Source organism: Homo sapiens, chromosome 1 (genome assembly GCF_000001405.40).
Source record: "Homo sapiens chromosome 1, GRCh38.p14 Primary Assembly".
Taxonomy (NCBI): domain Eukaryota; kingdom Metazoa; phylum Chordata; class Mammalia; order Primates; family Hominidae; genus Homo; species Homo sapiens.
The window spans coordinates 32,250,627-32,273,939 of record NC_000001.11 but is presented as its reverse complement, the minus strand read 5'-3'; the positions used below and the strand labels follow the sequence as shown (position 1 = coordinate 32,273,939).

At 48.8% G+C, this 23,313-nt stretch overlaps 1 protein-coding gene across 4 annotated transcripts in view, besides 7 other annotated features; it reads right to left on the bottom strand.

The window, feature by feature from the left end:
* Window positions 1-22,675, bottom strand: part of LCK (LCK proto-oncogene, Src family tyrosine kinase) — a 34,901-nt gene extending 12,226 nt beyond the window's left edge. For all 4 annotated transcript variants that reach the window (NM_001439146.1, XM_011541453.3, NM_005356.5 and 1 more), the window contains exon 1: window positions 22,569-22,675. The gene's annotated coding sequence lies outside the window, so the exon portion shown is untranslated. The remainder of the gene's footprint in view (window positions 1-22,568) is intronic.
* Window positions 8,746-9,045: a silencer, noted in NCBI's record as "silent region_590". NCBI's record gives its function as "represses an Ori minimal core promoter by ATAC-STARR-seq in GM12878 lymphoblastoid cells {active_cell/tissue: GM12878}" and the evidence as "EXISTENCE:reporter gene assay evidence [ECO:0000049][PMID:35858748]".
* Window positions 19,493-19,592: an enhancer, noted in NCBI's record as "active region_684". NCBI's record gives its function as "activates an Ori minimal core promoter by ATAC-STARR-seq in GM12878 lymphoblastoid cells {active_cell/tissue: GM12878}" and the evidence as "EXISTENCE:reporter gene assay evidence [ECO:0000049][PMID:35858748]".
* Window positions 19,873-20,022: an enhancer, noted in NCBI's record as "active region_683". NCBI's record gives its function as "activates an Ori minimal core promoter by ATAC-STARR-seq in GM12878 lymphoblastoid cells {active_cell/tissue: GM12878}" and the evidence as "EXISTENCE:reporter gene assay evidence [ECO:0000049][PMID:35858748]".
* Window positions 20,103-20,182: an enhancer, noted in NCBI's record as "active region_682". NCBI's record gives its function as "activates an Ori minimal core promoter by ATAC-STARR-seq in GM12878 lymphoblastoid cells {active_cell/tissue: GM12878}" and the evidence as "EXISTENCE:reporter gene assay evidence [ECO:0000049][PMID:35858748]".
* Window positions 20,273-20,322: a silencer, noted in NCBI's record as "silent region_589". NCBI's record gives its function as "represses an Ori minimal core promoter by ATAC-STARR-seq in GM12878 lymphoblastoid cells {active_cell/tissue: GM12878}" and the evidence as "EXISTENCE:reporter gene assay evidence [ECO:0000049][PMID:35858748]".
* Window positions 20,383-20,462: a silencer, noted in NCBI's record as "silent region_588". NCBI's record gives its function as "represses an Ori minimal core promoter by ATAC-STARR-seq in GM12878 lymphoblastoid cells {active_cell/tissue: GM12878}" and the evidence as "EXISTENCE:reporter gene assay evidence [ECO:0000049][PMID:35858748]".
* Window positions 20,483-20,582: a silencer, noted in NCBI's record as "silent region_587". NCBI's record gives its function as "represses an Ori minimal core promoter by ATAC-STARR-seq in GM12878 lymphoblastoid cells {active_cell/tissue: GM12878}" and the evidence as "EXISTENCE:reporter gene assay evidence [ECO:0000049][PMID:35858748]".

Here is a 23,313-nt window from a genome sequence, read left to right as displayed (position 1 = left end):
GGAGAGACCTGACTTATCAGACCCTCCCCTACTGGAGAGGTGTGCACGCCACACCTCCTATTATAATTCCCCTGTCTAGCTGAGGAGGCTGAGAAAGAGGCTTCTGCTCCCGAAGTCCACCATCAAGCCCCCGCTGTTCCCCTCACACAGCCCACAGTCATCTCACAGGGTTCCTTCAAACACGGGCTTGCTTCTCCCCAGCAGAAAACCCTCCAGTGACTCTGTTGGCCATAACTTTTTTTTTGTTTATTTGCCTGTTTTAGCAGTGGAAATTTTTTGTCTGATGAAATCAAGCAGAACTCCATAGATAAAGTGATAAATGTGTGCCTGTTTTGCCTGAAGCAGAGTGGGGCCCTCACTTTGAAGCCCCCGGAGTCCCTGCAGCTCCTCCTTCTCTAGGGCTGCTCCTCAGAGTGCTTGGAAAGCGCTGTCCTCAAAGTTTAATGTACCATGCATTCCAGACCTTTCATATCAAGATGAAATCCACCTCCGCAGTCTATTCTGCCACACACACACTCTCTCACACACACACACTCACACACACCCTATACATATACACACCCTACACACACACACTCTCACACACACACACAGAGGCACCCCCTATCCCACCTCCACAGAGGCATCCACACACACACACTTTCACATAAACACACACACTCACCCCTCACAGGTACTCCCCCACACACTCACACACAGACTCACCCTCCCACACACAGGCACCCACACTCACACTCAGTAAACACATACACTCACCCTCCACAAGTGCCCCCCCACACACACACTCACCCCCCACACACAGGCACCCACTCTCACACACGTACCCACACACACATTCATGCACACACCCTATACATACTCCCCCTACACACACAGGCTCCCACACCCAGGAACACACACACTCGTCCACACACCCACACAGTCACACCCACATACACACACACACGCATTCACCCCCACACACACGCACTCACCCCACACACACACATTCTCCCCTCCCCAACACACATTCATACACACACACAGGCACCTCCACACACTCACCCACACCCATGCACACATCCACACACTCACCTTACACACACACACAGGCATCCCCTCCATAGATACCCCCACACACCCACACTCACACACACACAAACACCCACACACAGGCACCCCCACACACCCCCACACACACAGCCTGTGTTCTGAACTATTCTTGCCTTTCCCAAACACCCCATGCTATTTTCTTACTTAATGCCTTTGTACTTGTGGTTCTCCCTGCTTTGAAATGCGTGCGCTCTCTCGCTCTCTCTCTCTCTCTCTCTCTCTCTTTCTCTCTCTCTCTCTCTTTCTCTCTCTCTCTCTCTTTCTCTCTCTCTCTTGAGACAGGGTCTCCCTTCCTCTCCCAGGCTGAAGTGCAGTGGCGCAATCCCCTTAGACCTCCTGGGCTCAAGCAATCTTCCCACCTCAACCTCCCCAGTAGCTGAGACTAAAGGTGCACACCATCATGCCCAGCTGATTATTTTTTTGTAGAGATGAGGTCTCACTATGTTGCCCAGTCTGATCTCGAACTCCTGGGCTCAAGCAATCCTCCTGCCTTGGCCTCCCCAAATGCTAGGATTATAGGCATGCACCACCGAACCCAGTCGGCATGCTCTCTTTTGTCCAACTGCTGAATTCTAACTCAACCTTCAAGGCTCAGCTGAAATATTACCTTTTTTTTTTTTCCTGCAACCTCTACCTCCCAGGTTCAAGCAATTCTCCTGCCTCGGCCTCCTGAGTAGTTGGGATTACAGGCATGCACCATCACGCTTGGCTAACTTTTGTATTTTTAGTAGAGACAGGGTTTCACCATGTTGGCCAGGCTGGTCTCGAACTCCTGGCCTCAAGCAATTCTCCTGCCTCAGCCTCCCAAAGTGCTCGGATTACAGGCACCTGGCCTAAATATCACCTAGTCTGAAGACTTCCCAATGCTCTTTGCTTCCCTCTCACCCCAGTCTCCTGCAACATTCTATTCAGACCTCAATAATCAACTTAGACACAGAGTTCCATGATTACTGATTTACATGTCAGCCCCAGGGTCCCACTGCCTCTCCCATACCTTTGATGAGAGTGGGGGTTCATCAAGAGCAGAAGCTGTAGTTTATTTGTCTGAAAGCCACCAGCACCCAAAATTAGTTAATAAATGTCAACTGGAACATGCAGTGTTAATGCATAGAGTCTCCCATCTGCAAAGGTCTTAGAAACCAGCAAGCCTAATCTCCAATTTTATTATTTGTTGATTTATTTTTGAGATAAAGTGTCACTCTCTTGCCCAGACTGCAGTGCAATGACCCAATCCTAACTCACTGGAACCTCAAACTCCTGGGCTCAAGTGATCCTCTAACTTCAGCCTCCTGGGTAGCTGGCACCACTGAGCCCAGGTGATTTTTTATTTGTTCTAGAGATGGGGGTATTGCTATGTTGCCCGGACTGGTCTCAAATTCTTGGCTTCAAGTGATCCTTCCTTCTTGGCCTCCCAAAGTGCTGGGATTACAGGCATGAGCTGCCATACCTGGCTAAACCTCTGATTTTAGATGAGCAAACTGAGGCCCACAGAGGTATGCTTAAAGTCACACAACCTATTTGGAGTAGAGCAAAGCTGGAGTTGCTGGCCGGGCGTGGTGGCTCACATCTGTAATCGCGGCACTTTGGGAGACTGAGGCAGTAAGACCATTCAAACTCAGAAGTTCCAGACTAGCCTGGGCAACATAGTGAGACCTCATCTCTAGAAAAAAAATCAAAAAATTAGCCAGGTGTGATGGGGCATGCCTGTAGTTCCAGCTACTTGGGAGGCTGAGGCAAAAAGATCACTTGAGCCCAGGAGCTCAAGGCTGCAATGAGCTACGATTGTGCCACTGCACTCCAGCCTGGATAACAGAGCGAGAGCCTGTCTCAAAAAAAAAAAAAAAAAGGCCAGGCGCGGTGGCTCACACCTGTAATCCCAGCACTTTGGGAGGCCAAGGCGGGTGGGTCACAAGATTAAGGGATCGAGACCATCCTGGCCAACATGGTGCAACCCTGCCTCTACTAAAAATCCAAAAATTAATCGGGCTTGGTGGCAGGTGCCTGTAATCTCAGCTACTCAGGAGGCTGAGGCAGGAGAATCGCTTAAACCCAGGAGGTAGAGGTTGCAGTGAGCCGGAATTGCGCCATTGCACTCCAGCCTGGCAACAGAGTGAGATTCCGTCCGTCTCAAAAAAAAAAAAAAAAAAAAAAAAAAGTCCGGGCACGATGGCTCATTCCTGTAATCCCAGCACTTTGGGAGGCTGAGGCGGGTGGATCACGAGGTCAGGTGTTCAAGACCAGCCTGACCAACATGGTGAAACCCCGTGTCTACTAAAAATACAAAAATTAGCCAGGCATGGTGGCACACGCCTGTAATCCCAGCTACTCAGGAGGCTGAGGCAGGAGAATCACTTGAACCCGGGAGGCAGAGGTTGCAGTGAGCCGAGATCAAGCCACTGCACTCCAGCCTGGATGACAGAGCGAGACTCCATCTCAAAAGAGCAGGCTGGGCACGGTGGCTCATGCTTGTAATCCCAGCACTTTGGGAGGCCAAGGTGGGTGGATCACCTGGGGTCAGAAGTTCAAGACAACCAGCCTGGCCAACAATGGTGAAACCCTGTCTCTACTAAAAATACAAAAAAAAAAAAAAAAAAAAAGTTAGCTGGGCATGGTGGCTGGAGAATTGCTTGAACTCAAGAGGTGGAGGTTGCAGTGAGCCTAGATCCTGCCACTGCCACCGCACTGTTCACTCCAACTTGGGTGACAGAGACTCTGTCTAAAAAGAAAAAACAAAAGAGAGACAGAGAGAGAGAATTCATGCTGGGTCTAAGTGGAAGCAGGGAGCAGTGGAAGTTTCTCATTAGCAAAACTCAGAAGACTGTCCCCATAGTTAGAGACCTAAGTTCAAATAGCAATTTTGACACTTACTGTGTGACTTTGCTGAAATCATTCCTCCTAAGCCTCACTTTTCCTCTTCTGTCAAATGGGGCTCTTCATCCATTTCTCATAAGCTCACATGAATGTTAGCTTAGTTTAGTGCTTAGAAACACTTTCACCAGTGCACAATTCTGTCCTACCAACTCCTGCTTTGGAAGGTGGAAGAATGGGACTGGGTAATTAATCTCCTTTGCTTTAGACTCCTGTTTCTTTCTTTTTTCTTTTTTTAATAGAGTCTCGGCTGGGCGCGGTGGCTCATGCCTGTAATCCCAGCACTTTGGGAGGCTGAGGAGGGCAAATCACATGGTCAGGAGTTCGAGACAAGCCTGGCCAACATGGTGAAACCCTGTCTCTACTAAAAATACAAAAATTAGCTGGGCGTGGTGGTGCGCGCCTGTAATCCCAGCTTCTTGGGAGGCTGAGGCAGGAGAATTGCTTGAACCATGGAGGTGGAGGTTGCAGTGAGCTGAGACCACGCCATTGCACTCTAGCCTAGGTGACAGAGCAAGATACCATCTCAAAAGAAAAAAAAACAGACAGAATCTCACTCTGTCACCTAGGCTGGAGTTCAGTGGTGTGAACTTGGCTCACTGGAACCTCCACCTCCCAGGTTCAAGTGATTCTCCTGCCTCAGCCCCCTGACTAGCTAGGACTACAGGCATGTGTCACCACGCCCAGCTAATTTTTGTAATTTTAGTAGAGATGGGGGTTTCACCATGTTGGCCAGGGTGGTCTTGAACTCCTGACCTCAAGTGATCCACCCACCTCAGCCTCCCAAAGTGCTGGGATTACAGGCGTGAACCACCATGCCCAGCCTAGACTCCTGTTTCTTTTCTCTCTTTCCTTTTTTTTTTTTTTTTAGACTTGCTCTGTTGCCCAGGCTGGAGTGCAGTGGTGTGATCTGGGCTCACTGCAAGCTCTGTCTCTCCTCCCTCAGCCTCCCTAAGCAGGTGGGACTACAGGCGTGCACCACCACGCCTGGCTAATTTTTGTATTTTGTGTTTTGTATTTTTAGTAGAGACAGAGTTTTGCCACGTTGGCCAGGCTGGTCTCGAACTCCTGACCTCAGCCTCCCAAAGTGCTGGGATTACAGGCAATGAGCCACTGTGCCCAGCCCTAGACTCCTGTTTCTTTTCTTTTCTTTTTTTTTTTTTTTTGAGACGGAGTTTTGCTCTTGTTGCCCAAGCTGGAGTGCAATGGCACGATCTCGGCCCACCGCAACCTCTGCCTCCCAGGTTCAAGCGATTCTCCTACCTCAGTCTCCCAAGTAGCTGGGATTACAGGCATGTGCCACCACGCCCGGCTAATTTTGTATATTTATTTATTTACTTATTTATTTATTTACTTTTATGGGTATCTGGTAAGTATATATGTTTATGGGGTACATGATATATTTTGATAGAGGCATACAATGTGTAATAATCACAAAAGGGATAAATGAGCTATCCATCACCTCAAGCAAGCCTCTTATTATTATTATTATTATAAAAACTAGCTGGGCATGGTGGTGCATGCCTATAATCCCAGGTGCTTGGGAGGCTGAGGCAGGAGGATCACTTGAGCCCAGGAGTTCAAGGCCACAGTGAGCTACGATTGCACCACTGCACTCCAGCCTGGGTGACAGAACAAGACCCCTTGTCTAAAGTAAATAAATAAATGAATAATAATAATAAATTTTTTTAAGTTTTGAAAAGAAGCCCAACATACTGCCAGGCATTTGCATTTCTCTTTCTGCATTTGCATTTCTCTCATTACTTTTTTCTTTTTTATTTTTTTTGAGACAGAGTCTCACTCTGTCTCCCAGGCTGGAGTGCAGTGGCGCGATCTCAGCTCACTGCAACCTCCGCCTCCTGGGTTCAAGCGATTCTCCTGCCTCAGCCTCCCTAGTAGCTGGGACTACAGGCGCGTGCCGCCACACCTGGCTGATTTTTTATATTTTTAGTAGAGATGGGGTTTCATCGTGTTTGCCAGGATGGTCTCAATCTCCTCACCTTGTGATCCTCCTGCCTCGGCCTCCCAAAGTGCTGGGATTACAGGCGTGAGCCACTGTGCCCGGCCTTATTATTATTATTTTTTGAGACAGAGTTTCGCTCTTGTTGCCCAGGCTGGAGTGCAATGGTGTGATCTCGGCTCACTGCAATATCCACCTCCCAGGTTCAAGTGATTCTCCTGCCTCAGCCTCCCAAGTAACTGGGATTACAGGCGTGTGCCACCACACCCGGCTAATTCTGTATTTTTTAAGAGACTGGATTTCTCCATGTTGGTCAGGCTGGTCTCAATCTCTCGACCTCAGGTGATCTGCCCGCCTCGGCCTCTCAAAGTGCTGGGATTACAGGCATGAGCCACCATGCCCGGCCTAATTTTGTATTTTTAGTAGAGACAGGGTTTCACCATGTTGGTCTGGCTGGTCTTGAACTCCTGACTTCAGGTGATCTGCCCTCCTCGACCTCCCAAAGTGCTGGGACTACAGACGTGAGCCACCGTGCCCAGCTCGACTCCTGTTTCTTAAACTGAGATACTCAGCCTCCCATGGGTACCGGAAGTCATGTCATGGTGTGCATTTTTCCAGAGCATGAGTGTTTCCTGACCTTATTCATGTAAGTTAAACAAACATGACCTATTATGGAGGAAAATGCAAAATGTGCATGGAATTTTAAATCAAATCAAGAAACTTTCCAGGAAAAGGGTACGTATTCACTCTTTCCCCTACTGTTAGGAGTCCTGGGGGGAGGTGGACATTTGGGAAATCCTGCTAGACCAGAGTGCACCCATCTGTGACTGCAAATGACTTTTTGACTATTATAGCCTGAGAGTAATTAGCAACAAGAGCCCCCAGTAAAGGACTAACAGCAACCTGGAACTGGTCTCAGATAAGCTGAGCTGTTTTGTGAGGTAGTGAGCATCCTGTTGTTTGTGATAGTCGTATGAGCCTTAGGAAACCACAAGTTGGTTGTGTTGTAAAGAGAATACCAACATCAGATGGAATGTGGACTTAGACCAGTAAGGTCCCTGCCAGGCTTGACATTCTTGGAGCCTTTAGAAAAAGGCAAGAGAAAGATTGTAGAAGTTTGAGGTTAAGAAGAGGGAATGTATAGGAGGAAGGGAGAGATGGGAAAGAAGAAGAAGGAGGAGAAAGAAAGGGAGGGGGAAGGGGAGGGGGAGGGGGAGGAGGGGGAAGAGGAGGGGGAGGAGGGGGAAGGGGAGGGGGAGGGGAGGAGGGGGAAGAGGAGGGGGAGGAGGGGGAAGGGGAGGGGGAGGAGGGGGAAGGGGATGGGGAGGAGGGGGAAGGGGAGGGGGAGGAGAGGGATGAGGAGGGGGAGGAGGAAGAGGAGGAGGAGGTGAAGGAGGAGAGGAGGTGGTGGTGGCGGAGGAGGAGGAGGAGGAAGAAAGGGCGTAGTAGCTCAGGCCTATAATCTCAGCCCTTTTGGAGGCTGAGGCAGGAGGATCTCTCTTTTTTTTTTTTTTTTTTGAGACAGAGTCTCGCTCTGTTGCCCAGGCTGGAGTGCAGTGGCGTGATCACGACTCATTCACTGCAAGCTCTGCCTCCTGGGTTCACGCCCTTCTCCTGCCTCAGCCTCCCGAGTAGCTGGAACTACCGGCGCCCGCCACTGTGCCCGGCTATTTTTTTTTTTTTGTATTTTTAGTAGAGACGGGGTTTCACCATGTTAGCCAGGATGGTCTTGATCTCCTGACCTTGTGATTTGCCCGCCTCAGCCTCCCAAAGTTCTGGGATCACAGGCGTGAGCCACCGTGCCCGGCCAGGAGGATCTCTTGAGCCCAGGAATTAGAGACCAGTGCCTGGGTAACACAGTGAGACCTTATCTCTACAAAAAAAATCTGAAAATTAGCAGGGCATGGTGGTGCGCCCCTGTAGTCCTAGCTACTCAGGAGGCTGAGTGGGGAGGATCACTTGAGCCTGGGAGGTTGAGGCGGCAGTGAGCCGTGAACACGCCACTGCACTCCAGCCTGGATAACAGAGCAAGAGAGCAACACCCTGTCTCAAAACAAGGCCGGGTGCTGTAGCTCATGTCTGTAATCCCTTTGGGAAACCAAGGCAGGAGAATTGCCAAGAGTTTCAGACCAGCCTGGGCAACGTAGCAAGACTCAGTCTCTATATAAAGGAAAAAAAGAAGAGGAAGAAGAAGGAGGAGGAGAAGGAGAAGAGATAAACTATGGTGCAACAGTGAGAAAAGGCCAGTAGAAGAAGCAGAAGGAATCTAGGTTGGAGATCATGGGGCTGGAAGCTGGTACCTGGTCCAGGCTGGGGTCAGGTGGGGAGGGAAAAGGAATCACAAGGCCTTGGGCTAGGATCCAGGAAAGCATGCAAGGCAGGTCCTAGATTCTGGACTGAATCTGGGCCAGAAAATCCCCGACTTAAGACTGGGCAAAAAGTGAGAAAAAGTCAGCCTATGTTAAATTAAGATCAGAGGAACTCTAGCTTTGCAGGGTATCTGGCCTCTACTGTTTCCTCTATGGCCCCCCAGCTACAGGTGGCAGTTCCTGCCCTCTATAAGCATGTGAGCTTTGGAGGATAGGGCCTGGCAGCAATCGTAAGTCCATAGGATCTGGCAATGCCAGAAATGTTTGTAGTCAGAGGCTCCCAGCCTGAAGTTTACATGCTCCCAGGAAGTCCCAGGCTAGTGCCGGGGAGGCCTTTAGGTTATTTTAATATTTCAAAAATCTGAAAGGAAATTCCACTATACTTTGTTTCTTGTTTTGACAAATTGTATTATTTATTTCTTCATTGCATACTTAATTAAATCGCTGATTACATTTTTTTTTTTTTTTGAGACAAAGTCTCACTCTGTCACCCAGGCTGGAGTGCAGTGGCGCAATCTTGGCTCACTGCAACCTCCGTGCCTCAGCCTCCCGAGCAGCTGGGATTACAGGCACGTGCCGCCACGCCCAGCTAATCTCTCTATTTTTAGTAGAGATGAGGTTTCACCATGTTGCCCAAGCTGGTCTTGAACTCCTGACCTCAGGTGATCCACCTGCCTCGGCCTCCCAAAGTGCTGAGATTACAAGCGAGAGCCACTGTGCCCAGCCAAATCTTTGATTAAAATGTAAACTTGAGGCCAGGTGCAGTGACTCACACCTGTAATCCCAGCACTTTGGGAGGCTGAGGAGAGAGGATCGATTGAGCCCCGGAGTTTGAGACCAGCCTGGGCAACGTGGTGAGACCCTTTCTCTATTAAAAGAAAAATTTTTTTAACTTGAAAATAAGAAAATTTGCATCTAAATGAGGTAGCTTAGTAGGTAAAAACTTTAAAATCATGAGATCCATGTGGGGAAGAGGGAGTGTAGAACAGGGAATGGTAAAAGACACTTTGTCTTCACAAGAGTTTAGGAAACACAAATACAGTTCATCAGCCTCATTTTAAAACTGGGGAAAAGGAGAGGTTCAGTGATTGTCCCAATAATACACTGAGGGTTCCTGGCAGATGCAAAACTCATATCAAAACCTTACATCCTTTTTTTTTTAGACGAGGTCTCACTACGTTGCCCAGGCTGGTCTCTAACTCCTGGGCTCAAGCGCTTCTCCCACCTCAGCCTCCCAAATAGCTGGGATTGCTGGCATATGCCTGGCTTGGCTCCTACATCCTTTATCAAGATCCTCTCCTCTACTTTTCACTCCCTGGAAAGTCTAAGGGTGGAGGGGGAGGGCTGAGAGGTCTAGGAGAATGTGAGGCAGGAAGGCAGGTCTGACAGGGTAGGGTCCATTTCCCATCAAAAATTTGACCACTGTGCTGTTAACAAAGGCTTTTCTCTTCAAGACAATCCCCCCTCTACCTGGAATGCACGTTTCTGGGTATATATTTACCTGCCTGTTGAATGCAAGTCTGTGCATATGAAAACATATGCAGTGAGCCCTGTGCTTATGGGTGCATATCTGTGGGTTTGCAGGAGTCTGTGTGTGCAGAGGGATATATAACAGAATGAGACTATGAATAGCAGCGACCGTCCCTATGTAATTGTGAAGTCATATAGGCATACATCTGTTTATACAAAATGTGGGTATACCCCATCCTTCCGGTCTTCTTCTTTTTTTTTTTTTAAACAGGGTCTTGCTCTGTCGCACAGGCTGGAGTGCAGTGCAGTGGCACTGTCTCAGCTCACTGCAAACTCCTGCCTCCTGTGCTCAAGGGATCCTCTTACCTCAGCCTCCTGAGTAGTGGGGACTGCAGGCCCATGCCACCAAGCCTGACTAATTTTTGTGTTTTTTGTAATGATGGGGTTTCACCATGTTGGCCAGTCTGGTCTTGAACTCCTGGGCTCAAGTAACCTGCCACCTTGGCCTCCCAAAGTGCTGGGATTACTAACCTGCCACCTTGGCCTCCCAAAGTGCTGGGATTACAGGCATAAGCCACCATGCCCAGCCTTTTATTTTTACTTTTTTGCAGTGACAAGGTTTCACCATGTTGCCCAGGCTGGTCTCAAACTCATGGGCTCAAGCAGTCCTCCCACCTCAGACTCCGAAAGTGTTGGGATGGCAGGCATGGGCCACCATGCCCAGTCTAATTTTTATTTATTTATTTATTTATTTATTTATTTATTTATTTATTTATTTTATTTATTTTGAGACGGAGTCTTCCTCTGTCCCCCAGGCTGGAGTGCAGTGGCACAATCGCAGCTGACTGCAACCTCCACATCCTGGGTTCAAGCAATTTCTCCTGTTTGAGCCTCCCAAGTAGCTGAGATTACAGGCATGCACCACCATGCCCGCTAATTTTTATTATTTTTAGTAGAGACAGGGTTTCACCATGTTGGCCAGGTTGGTCTCGAACTCCCAACCTCAAGTGGCCTGCCCACCTCCGCTTCCCAAAGTGCTGGGATGACAGGCATGAGTCACCAGACCTGGCCTGTGGCCTTTTTATAATCATCACAAAATGTTCTGTGGACCACGGGCAGCCTTAAGTTTGACTGAGAACATTACATGCCCTAGTCAGAGGCAGCCTCGAATCTATGAAATTCTTACTCGTGACCTTGGATTCCTAAATTGGGAGAAAAGAATGTCCTGTTTCATTCACCCCAGAATCTGCCCTCATTGCTGGTTCTGGGAGCCCTGGGGATTCCTTTCATCTGTTTTTTTTTTTTTTTTTTTCTCCCTTCCTCCACTTCTTTCTTTCAGACAATGAGAAATTTATATTAAGCTTTAATTTTGATTTTCTTTTTACTGACCTCATTTATTAACCTGGTTAGATCATGTTGGCTACTCAGCAATCTTTATCAAACTAAGACCAGAAGGAGTCTGGGCATGGTGACTCACGCCTGTAATCCCAGCACTTTGGGAGGCTGAGGCAGTAGGACTCCTTGAGCCCAGGAGTTCGAGAGCAGCCTGACCAACATGGTGAAACCCCGTCTCTACTAAAAATACAAAAATTAGCCAGGTGTACTAGGCGCATGCTTGTAATCCCAGCTACTCAGGAGGCTGAGGCAGGAGAATCGCTTGAACCCAGGAGACAGAGGTTGCAGTGAGCCGAGATCGCGCCATTGCACTCAAGCCTGGGTGACAGAACTAGACTCCATCAAAAAAAAAAAAAAGAAAAGAAAAAGAGATTCTCCTGCCACAGCCTCCCAAGTAGCTGGGATTATAGGCACGCACCACCACACCCAGCTGATTTTTGTATTTTTAGCAGAGATGGGGTTTCACCATGTTGGCCAGGCTGGTCTCAAAATCCAGTCCTCAAGTGATTCACCTGCCTCGGCTTCCCAAAGTGCTGGGATTACAGGTGTGAGCCACGGCACCCGACCATGCTCAGCTATATAATTAGTGGCCGGCGTCCGGCTACCGGGGGCCGTGGCTCACACCTGTAACCCCAGCACTTTGGGAGGCCGAGGCAGGTGAATCACTTGAGGTCTGGATTTTGAGACCAGCCTGGCCAACATGGTGAAACCCCATCTCTACTAAAAATACAAAGATTATCTGGGTGTGGTGGCACGTGACTGTAGTCCCAGCTACTTGAGCTACTTGGGAGGCTGAGGCAGGAGAATCTCTTTTTTTTTTTTTTTTTTTTTTTCTGACAGAGTCTAGTTCTGTTGCCCAGGCTGGAGTGCAATGGTGTGATCTCGGTTCACTGCAACCTCTGCCTCCCAGGTTCAAGCGATTCTCCTGCCTCAGCCTCCGGAGTAGCTGGGATTGGAGGCATGCGCCTAGTATGCCCGGCTAATTTTTGTATTTTTAGTAGAGACGGGGTTTCACCATGTTGGTCAGGCTGGTCTTAAACTCCTGACCTCATGATCTGCCCACCTCGGCCTCCAAAGTGCTGAGATTACAGGTGTAAGCCACCACACCTGGCCCTTTTTTTTTTTTTTTTTTTGAGACAGAGGACAGAGTCTCACTGTGTCGCCCAGGCTAGGGAGCAGTGGCACGATCTCGGCTCACTGCAACCTCCAACTCCCAGGTTCAAGTGATTATCCTGCCTCAGCCTCCCAAGTAGCTGGGATTACAGTCACGTTCCACCAGGCCCAGCTAATTTTTGTATTTTTAGTAGAGACGGGGTTTCACTATGTTGGCTAGGCTGGTCTTGAACTCCTGACTTCGTGATCCGCCCACCTCGGCCTCCCAAAGTGCTGGGATTACAGGCTTGAGCCACCACCATGCCCGGCCAGCAGGAGAATCTCTTGAACTGGGGAAGCGGAGGTTGCAGTGAGTGGACATCACGCCACTGCACTCCAGCCTGGTCCATGGAGTGAGACTCTGTCTCAAAAAAAAAAAAAAAAAAAAAAAAATTAGCCAAGCATGATGGCGTGATGGCATTTGCCTGTAGTCCTAGCTACCCAGGAGGCTGAAGTGGGAGGATCACTGAGCCCAGGAAGTCAAGGCTGCAGTGAGCCGTGATTATACCACTGCACACCAGTCTGGGCGACAGGGGACCCTGTCTCAAAAAAAGAAAAAATTAATTAAATTAAATTAAAAAAAATTTTTAAGTTAACATTTTTTCTCCTCCAACTATAGACCTATTGATTTATTGAACATTTTGTCCAAAATGTGTGCCAGCTTCGTGGCTGAGTTTCTTGGGCCAATGCTTTACATCAAGAACAGGCAGGTGGTCGGATGCAATGGCTCACGCCAGTAATCTCAACATTTTGGAAGGCCAAAGTGGAAGGATCACTCGAGGCCAGGAGTTCAAGACCAACCTGGGCAACATGGTGAGAACTCATCTCTACAAAAAATACAAAAATTAACCAGGTGTGGTGGTGCACGCCTGTAGTCCTAGCTACTCAGGAGGTTAAGGTAGGAGGATCGCTGAGCCCAGGAGGTTGAGGTTGCAGTGAGCCAATATCATACCACTGTACTCTAGCCTGGGGGAAAGAGCAAGAACCTCTCTCAAACAAAACAAAACAAACAAAGCAACACAAAAAACAGCAGACAAGACTATACTTCCTTTAGGGATCATTTCTTTAGTTCAGTTTCTCTGAACATGTAGAGCACAAAAAGTAAAAAAGAAAAAAGAACAAGCAGACTATTCTACTGCAGACCATTGTTGTACTCTGGACCACCTCATGGCAAAATCTGTCAGAAATCATTTAGAATAGCCAGGGCTGGAGGCTCACGCCTGTAATCCTAGGGCCGAGATGGGAAAATCACTTGAGCTCAGAAGTTCAAGACCAGCCTGGGCAACATAGTGAGACTTTGTCTCTGTAAAAATAAAAATAAAAGGCCAGGCGCAGTGGTTCACACCTGTAACCCCAACACTTTGGGAGGCTGAGGTGGGTGGATCATGAGGTCAAGAGATCGAGACCATTCTGGCCAACATGGCGAAACCTCATCTCTACTAAAAATACAAAAAATTAGCTGAACGTGGTGGTGCACACCTGTAGTCCCAGCTACTCGGAAGGCTGAGGCAGGAGAATTGCTTAAACCCGGGACTGCACTCCAGCGTGGCGACAGAGCAAGACTCTGTCTCAAAAATAAAATAAAATAAAATAAAAATAAAAATAAAATTAAAAAAAAATGAATCATTTAAAACATTTTCTTCGCCTTTGCCCCGACCCAGACTTGATTAATGACAAAGCTGCCCATGTTCAATAAAGAGCCTTAGCTATTCATGCCCACATAGAACCCTCATGACAATATCAAGCAATATCAAGAATCAGGGCTAGCAGGCATGGCAAATAATTTCTTTCTTTATTTTATTTTATTTTGAGACAGGGTCTTGCCCTCTTGCTCTCTTGCTCTCTTGTGCCACTGGAGTGCAGTGGCAAAATCACAGCTCACTGAAGCCTCGACCTCCCGGGCTCAAGCAATCCTCCCACCTCAGCCTCCTGAGTAACTGGGACAACAGGCATGTGCCACCACGCCTGGCTATTATTATTATCATTATTATTATTATTATTATTTTTATTTTTTTAGATGAAGTCTCACTCTATCGCCCAGGCTGGAGTGCAGTGGTGCAATCTCGGCTCACTGCAACCTCTGCCTCCCAGGTTCAAGCAATTATCCTACCTCAGCCTCCCGAGGAGCTGGGACTACAGGCGTGTGCCACCACACCTGGCTAATGTTTGTATTTTTAGTAGAGATGGGGTTTCACCATGTTGGCCAGGGTAGTCTAGAACTCTTGGCCTCAAGTGATCTGCCTGCATTGGCCTCCCAAAGTGTGGGATTACAGGTGTGGCATGAGCCACCGCACCCAGCCTCCAGCTATTTTTTTTTTCTTTTTCTTTTTCTTTTTTTTTTTTTACCTGAGAAGCTGTGAATGAGAGGGCCCGGGTAATTTTTGTATTTTTTTAATTTTTGTAGAGACAGGGTTTTGCCATGTTGCTCAGGCTAGTCTCAAACTCCTGAGCTTAAGCAATCCACTGCCTCAGCCCCTTAAAGTGCTGGGATTACAGGCATGGGCTACCGTGCCCCGTCAGTAATTAATTTCTAGTGGGTAAATCAGGGATGTGTCCTGGGCTACCTCCTTTTTCATATTTGTTTAAATACATAATACTTTTTTTTTTTTTGAGATGGTATCTCACTCTGTGGCCCAGACTGGAGTGCAGTGACACAATCATGGCTCACTGCAGCCTCGACCTCCCATAGCTCAGGTGATCCTCCTACCTCAGCCTCCTGAGTAGCTGGCACTATGGGTGGGCAACACCACGCCTGGATAATTTTTGTATTTTTAGTAGGGACAGGGTCTCACCACGTCACACAGGCTGGGTTTTTTTTTTTTTTTTTTTTGAGACGGAGTCTCGCACTGTTGCCCAGGCTGGAGTGCAGTGACGTGATCTCAGCTCACTGCAACCTCCACCTCCCAGGTTCAAGCGATTCTCCTGCCTCAGCCTCCCGAGTAGCTGGGATTACAGGCACCCGCCACCATGCCTAGCTAATTTTTTGTATTTTTAGTAGAGACGTGTTTTTTAGTAGAAACTAATTTTAGTTTCACTATGTTGGTCAGGCTGGTCTCGAACTTCTGATGTTGTGATCCACCTGCCTCCGCCTCCCAAAGTGCTGGGATTACAGGTGTGAGCCACTGCGCCCAGCCTGGTTTTTTTTTTTTTTTTTAAAGAGATGGAGTCTCACATCTCACTCTGTCACCCAGGCTGGAGTAGTACAGCACATGATTGTAGCTCACTGCAACCTGAAACTTCTGGCCTCAAGTAATCCTCCCACCTCAGCCTCCCGAATAGCTGGGATTACAGGCAGGAGCCACTGCACCTGGCTTTAATTCCGCTCTCTCTCTTTTTTTTTTTTTTCCTTTAGAGATGGGATCTCACTCTGTTGCCCAGGCTGGAGTGCGGTGGCATGATCATGGCTCACTGCAGCCTCAACCACCTGGGCTCAAGTGATCCTCCCACCTCAGCCTCCTGAGTAGCTGGGACCACAGGTACACACCACCAAGCCCAGTTAATTTTTTTATTTTTTGTAGAGACGGGGTCTGCCTATGTTCCCCAGGCTGGTCTTGAGCTCCTGGGCTCAAGCAGTCCCCTTGCTTTGGCCTCCCAAAATGCTGTGATTATAGGTGCAAGCCACCACACCTGGCTTAATACCTTTTTTGAATGAACTCTGTAGCCTCTCGACACAGAGAGAACAAAAAAAAAAGCATTATTTTGGATGCAAACAAAATGGATTTATTTTCACAAATTGGGAGTGTCTTGAACATAGAACTGATTCTGCTAGTCAAGTATCGCTATAAATAAGGGATATAGAGCAATTATTCTAATTGGTATTTTAGTAGAAGTCCCCCAACCAGTAACGTGAATATACCTGATAATCCCTTTTACTGAGTCCGCTCCCTTGGGTACTTTGGTGTGCTTTTTGTATCATGGACAGTTTTATTAGGATGGAGCCTTACTTACAGCTTGGCAATCCACACTGCTTTATAAACGTTTCTGGGAGTCTGGCAGCTCTGGAAGCTCAGTTCACCATGTCCATGCCATGGCAACCCAAATTCAATCCAGGTTCTCCCAATCACTTGCTGGCAGAAGGGCACCAGGCGTGGTGGTTCACACCTATAATCCCAGCACTTTGGGAGGCTAAGGTGGGCAGACAGATACGTGAGCCCAGGAGTTTGAGACCAGCCTGGGCAACATGGCAAAACCCCGTCGGTACAAAAAAAATACAAAAATTAGCCGGACTTTGTGTCCCATGCTTGTGGTCCCAGCTACTTGGGAGGCTGAGGTGAGAGGATCACCTGAGATTGGGGAGGTCAAGGCTACAGTTAGCCAAGATTGGGCCACTACGCTCCAGCCTAGGCGACAGAGCAAGACCTTGTCTCAAAAAAACAAAAAAAACAAAAAAAAAAAAAACAAGACTTACTGGCAGAAGGTTGTTGGGCAGCTTACTAAACCTCTGCACTTCCCTCAGTTCCTTCATCAGCAAAATGATGACAAAAATAAGACTTGCATCTAAGGCTGGCTGTGGTGAGCATTATACGTGATATATAGATGATCTCATATAATAAAATGCTTAACATAGTGCTTGCTACATAGACACTGGCCTTAAACATCTTTCAGGCTAAAATGATTGATCATTTTCATTTTCCTTCATGATTTTTGGCACTTCCACGGGCTACCTTTTCACGTTTGATATATGTACCTAAAATGGAAACTTTACTACCATAAATGGAAAACCAGAATCATGAGACATAAATAGAAGTGAAACAACAGCGCACACTAAAATAAACACATAAATTAACATTCGTAAATGGTCATCCATTATCCCCTAAAATCACTTACACACCTGAGTGGTGTACAGGTCATATTTTAGGAAATGCCACACTGCAAGAGAGAACTTTGGGCTTAGGCTGCTGCTTGTGGATTAAAGGAGCTGGCCTATTGACAAAAATGTAATGGGTGAGGTAGGACGATTGCTTGAGACCATACATAGTGTGAGTGCAGCTTGGGCAAAATAGTGAGATCTTATCTCCACACACTTTTTTTTTTTAAGACAGAGTTTTGCTCTTGTTGCCCAGGCTGGAGTGCAATGGCACGATCTCGGTTCACTGCAACCTCCACTTCCCGAGTTCAAGCAATTCTCCTGTCTCAGCCTCCCAAGTAACTGGGATTACAGGCGCCTGCCACCACGCCTGGCTAATTTGTTGTATTTTTAGTAGAGACAGGGTTTCACCATGTTGGCCAGGCTGGTTTCAAACTCCTGACCTCAGATGATGCACCCACCTCACCCTCCCAAAGTGTTGGGAGTTTAGTAGAAACCCCATTTCTACTAAAAATACAAAAGTTAGCCGGGCTTGGTGGCATGTGCCTATAGTCCCAGCTACTTGGGAAGCTGAGGCAGGAGAATTGCTTGAACCCGGAGACAGAGGTTGCAGTGAGCTGAGATAGTGCCACTGCACTCCAGCCTGGGTGACAGAGCAAGACTCCATCTATAAATAACTAAATAAATAAATAAATAAATTGTATTGTTATTATTATGTTTTAATAGAGACGGGGTGTTGCTATGTTGCCCAGGCTAGTCTTGAATGCCTAGTCTCAAGAGATCTTCCTGCCTCAGCCTCCCAAAGTATTGGGATTATAGGCATGAGCCACTGTGCCTGGCCAAGAATTTTTTTATAATTAGCTGGGCATGGTGGTACACATCTGTAGTCCTAGGCTACTCAGGAAGCTGAGGTGGGAGAACCACTCAAGCCCAGGTGTGTGAAGTTACAGTGAGCTATGATCACACCATGTGCCCCAGCCGGGGCAACAGACTGAGACACTGTCTCAAAAAAAAAAAAAAAAAAAATAAATTTAATGGGTACCTCCTATGTGCCAGATTCTGACCTAGAGCTGAGGATGCAGAAGTAAGCAGACAGAGAGCGTCCCATGCATTTGGCCCTGCCCTCTGTGACAGAGGTGGGTGCCCCTCTGGTGGGTCACTTCATTTTCACAGGAGGCTATAAGGCTTGTAGTTAGCTCACTGATCAATAATATCTGTGACTGCCGACAACATGGCCGCACATGACAGCAACACTTGCCAGGAAGTAACATTTCAAAATCACCACCGTTAACCATTTACCAAGCTAACGTTTAGTGAAACAGTTAAAAGGATGAGGTATTTTGTATTGACATGTATTGACACGGAAAGACATCCCGCATACACCATGGCAAGCAAGTTGCAGAACAGAATGCAGAGTATATGCCTATTTGCATTGACATATGTATACAGGGGATTCTTTTAAATAAGCTCTGTGCTAAGCCTTTATTTGCATTATTTCATGTAATTCTCATAATAATCCTATGAAGTGCTATTATTATCCCCATTTTACAGATGCAAAGACTGAGGCCCAAACCAGGTAAAATGATTTGTCTGAGGCCTCATAACAAACAAATGAGCAGTGGAGTTGTGAAGTGAGTCCCGGTCTGCCAGCCTGCAGAGACTAGACTTAACCTCCATGTTTTTCAGCAGCCATACATGGGAAAATCTGGAAGGACACACACCAAATTTTTCACGATGGGCATATCCCAGAAGTGGGATTGGAGGAGGCTGCATTTCTTGTATTTCTTTATATGCCTCTTACTGTTTGAGTTTTAAATTTTATTTTTTTTTTAAATAATTAAATAGAGATGGGGTCTGCCTATGTTGCCCAGGCAGGTCTCAAACTCCTGGGCCCATGTGATCCTCCCATCACGGCCCCCCAAAGTGCTAGGATTACAGGTGCGAGCCACTGTGCCTGGCCTGTTTGAGTGTTTTTAAAACAGCAATGTGCTAATTTTGTAATTAGAAACAAAAACAGCCGGGCGAGGTGGCTCATGCCTGTAATCCCAGCACTTTGGGAGGCTGAGGCAGGCGGATCACCTGAGATCGGGAGTTCAAGATCAGCCTGACCAACATGGAGAAACCCCATCTCTACTAAAAACACAAAATTAGCCGGGCGTGGTGGTCCATGCCTGTAATCCCAGCTACTCGGGAGGCTGAGGCAGCAGAATCACTTGAACCAGGGAGACGGAGGTTGCAGTGAGCCAAGCTCGCACCACTGCACTCCATCCTGGGCAACAAGAGTAAAACTCTGTCTCAAAAAAACAAAAAACAAACAAACCAAAAAAACCCCACAAAACTTAGCCAGACATGGTGGCACACGCCTGTAATCCCAGTTACTGGGGAGGCTAAGGCAGGAGAATCACTGGAACCTGGGAGGTGGAGGTTTACAGACATGCACCACCATGCCTGGCTAATTTTTTGTATTTTTAGTGGAGATGGGGATTCACCATGATGGCCAGGCTGGTTTCGAACTCCTGACCTCAGGTGATCCACCTGCTTTGGCCTCCCAAAGTGCTGGGATTACAGGCGTGAGCCACTGCACTCTGCCGTGTTTATTTTTTAGAGACAGAATCTAGCTGTGTCACCCAGGCCAGAGTGCAGTGGAGCGATCACAGCTCACTGCAGCCTCAAACCCCTAGCTCCAGATACTTTAAAATCAACACTGAGGTTGATTGTGAGAGGCCCCATTACTGGATGGTACCTTGGTCCCACCTGCTCCTCACCACCTACCCCACCCCACCCCACTGAGAATTACTTTCACTGAATTGAGCTTGGCCTTGAAGCCATCAGCTCGTGGGTGTGTGCATGGAGTTATAGGATGTAGTCTGTGTTTTATGTGTAGCCCCTGCCCTGCCTCTGAACACATCTGTACACGTAGATTTTCCCATGATATGTATGGTGTTTTGGCTTGTGTGTGTGTGTGTGTGTGTGTGTCTGTGTGTGGCTGCGTGAGAGACCCTCTTCTAAAGTAGATCCCATGGCCCCGCTCAGAGTCCAGCCTGCCTGAGTTCTCACACTCCTCACACTGTATACAGGAAACAGGCTGATTTGCAAAGCCACACCACAAGTGTGAGGGAATGGGTGGTTCACTGGCCCACCAAGGTGCTGAGTGGGCATAATTTGGGTGTGGACAGCCCTCCCTTTGGTGCATCATTTGCAGGGGGAGGGAGTGCCCCACCTCCCTTAAACACCTACTATGTGCTGGCCAGGTGCGGTGGCTCATGCCTGTAATCCCAGCACTTTGGGGGGCCGAGGTGGGCGGATCACGAGGTCAGGAGATCGAAACCATCCTGGCCAATATAGTGAAACTCCATCTCTACTAAAAATGCAAAAATTAGCTGGGCATGGTGGCGCGCCTGTTAATCCTAGCACTTGGGAGGCTGAGGCAGGAGAATCACTTGAACCCGGGAGGCATTTTTGTTTGAGATGGGGTTTCGCTCTGTTGCCTAGGCTGGAGTGCAATGACTCGATCTCTGCTCATTACAACCTGTGCATCCCGGGTTCAAGCAATTCTGCCTCAGCCCCCTGAGTAGCTAGGATTACAGGCACCTGCCACCACGCTCGGCTAATTTTGCATTTTTAACGAAGACAGGGTTTCACCATGTCGGCCAGCCTGGTCTCAAGCTCCTGGCCTCAAATGATCTGCCCGCCTCAGCCTCCCAAAGTGCTGGGATTACAGGTGTGAGCCACCGTGCCCAGCTTGATTATTGCCTCTTTACAGATAAGTAAACTGAAGCTCAGAGAGAGAGATGAAGCCACTTGCTCAAGGAAATGGTCCAGCGGAATTGTGACTGGGTCGGCCTGTCTCTGAAATGCACATTCTCTGCTCCACACCACACCTGTGGGCTCTCTGGCCTTTGGTCTTGCTCTGAGGTCTCTGCCCTCGTGGTACCCAAGGAACAGAATCCAGGGATAGTGACCTTGGCTTCATGTCCTACGCACTCTTGAAAATGGGTCTTTCTCCTTCTCAGAACTGTCTTGACTCTTGCAGGAAGCTTTCCAGATCTTAAGAGACACCTTCTCCCCTCCTCTGAACCAATGCTCAGCCTGTTCTTGGCCCTTGTCCACTTGGCCCTTCTCTCTTTGAGAAGAGCCTCTGTTCCTGGGGCCCAAGAGCAAGGGACCCTGTCTGATTCGTCTGTCAGCATAGGGCTGGGTGGAAGGAACTGCTCATGCCTGTCCAGGGTGAATGACCCTCCCTGAAGTGCGAGGAGAGCCACCATGTTCCCTAGCCCCCACAAGAGGCTACAGGACTTGGAGCTGTAGACAGGAGAAAGGCTGGGACCAGCTGACTAGGCGGAAAGTGTGTGTCAAGAAAAACTCCAACGAAGCAGGGGAAACCTGGAAATCTGGCTGAGTGAGGACTTCCCAAAAAAATTAAGGCTCAGAGTTAAAAAGTGAGGAGGTGAGCAGGTAGCAACTATGCCTCCCCAGTCTCTCTCCACCTCCCTGGGGTTTGAAGCAGGAATCAGCAAAACCAACTGGCCCTACACAGGCAGGGCTGAAGCGGGAGGGAGCCAGGGGCGAGGGGAGGACATCCTGCTGTGACGCTTGGCAGGGGCAGGAATGGTGACTTTCCAGATGGAAGTTCAGCGCTTCCTCACCCAGGACCAACTGCACCCCTGTCTGGGATAAAAATAGTACTTCCTCTTCCTTTCTCCCATCATTCTCTTTCACTTCCAACTTCCCATACTCAGATCAGATATGTCCATCCACCCTGGAGCTCCATCCCAGATGATGGACACCCCCACACATATCAGTTCACGCCCATCAGGAGATTCTTCCCTCGATCGCTGAGGCTAAAATCACTCCTCGCATGTCCATCTGGATGCCTTGGGTGATCTCTGTCTCTCTCTCTCTCTCTCTCTCTCTCTCTCTCTCTCTCTCTCTTTCTCAGGAGATTCTTGTCACTGGGGTCTGCCCCAGAAACCAGAAGGATTCCTGGGTCCTCTGAGTCCAGCCTGTCCATCACCCTGCTCCAGGCGGGGTGGCCACAGCCTCAGCCATCACTCTCAGCCCTGCCACTGCCTTGCTGAGAAACCGTGGGCAGTGAGTGCCTTGTTCTCTCTGGGCCTCAGGAGCCTCATCCTCATGGCCTGAGGGACTGGGCTTGGTGGTTTCTGGAAGCCTTTTTAACACCTGACTGTCCATGTGCCTGGTGTCCAGGAAACACGCTCCCAGTCAGGTGGGGCCACTGGTGGACAGCACGACAGAGGCAAGCGACACCAGCTTCGCAGGAAAGAGGCGACCCAGCTACACTGCCTGCCTCCCACCTGACCTTGAGCGAGGATCTTCTCTCCCCAGCCACAAAGGGCTGCTGCATCCCTAGGGAGCCTGGGCCCGCACAGCTGCAGCCGTCTGCTATCAGGCCTCTCACCCCGGCGCCTGCGCCCCCAATACCAGCGCTCCTTACCTGCCCAGCCCGGGAGCCCTCTGGCCCCATTCACATGGTCCTCCTGGCCTAACCTGGCTGCCTGGACAGTCTCAGCTCCCTTCGCCGTCGTAGCCACCACCTGTCTCCCCGCGCCCACGTCCCACCCTGACTTCCTGCCTCCTCCGGAGGGCTCCGCAGCCAACCGGGCCCCAGCAGCCCAACCACAACCCTCTAGCACGCCAAGCTTCCTGCCACCATAGACCCCTGCCTCTCAGCCCCTGGGGGTCCCCTACATCTCCAGACCAGGTCCATCTTCCCCTACTGTCCCAGGGTGACACTGGGAGGTTTAAAGTTGAGGGGAGGATGTCTGATAGACCCTCCCTTCTGCCCTCCAGGGTGCATCTGGGCAAGAGATTCAAGGGCAGCCTTTGGGCCCAGTGAGCAGGGGGCAAGCGGACACACACTCAGCTTATGGTGAGAGGCAAACAGCACCTCAGCACCACCGTTGCAGCTGAGAGACCCTTTTGTTTCTGTCTGGCAGCAAAGGTAGCATCGTTCAGAGTCAGAGGAGAGGACAATATCCCTGTTAAATAGCTGGTGAGCAGACCATGCATGTTACAGTCAGGTCAGGCCGAGAGAACAATTCCCATGTCATCTCAGGGCATGGAACAGTAGCTTTATTATAGTCAAGGGTAGGTGAATGGCAGGCTACCATCCCTCTTACAGACAGAATGCTGGAAAACAGCCTGTTTCAGGAGGCAGACAGGACAACCTCATGTCTTCA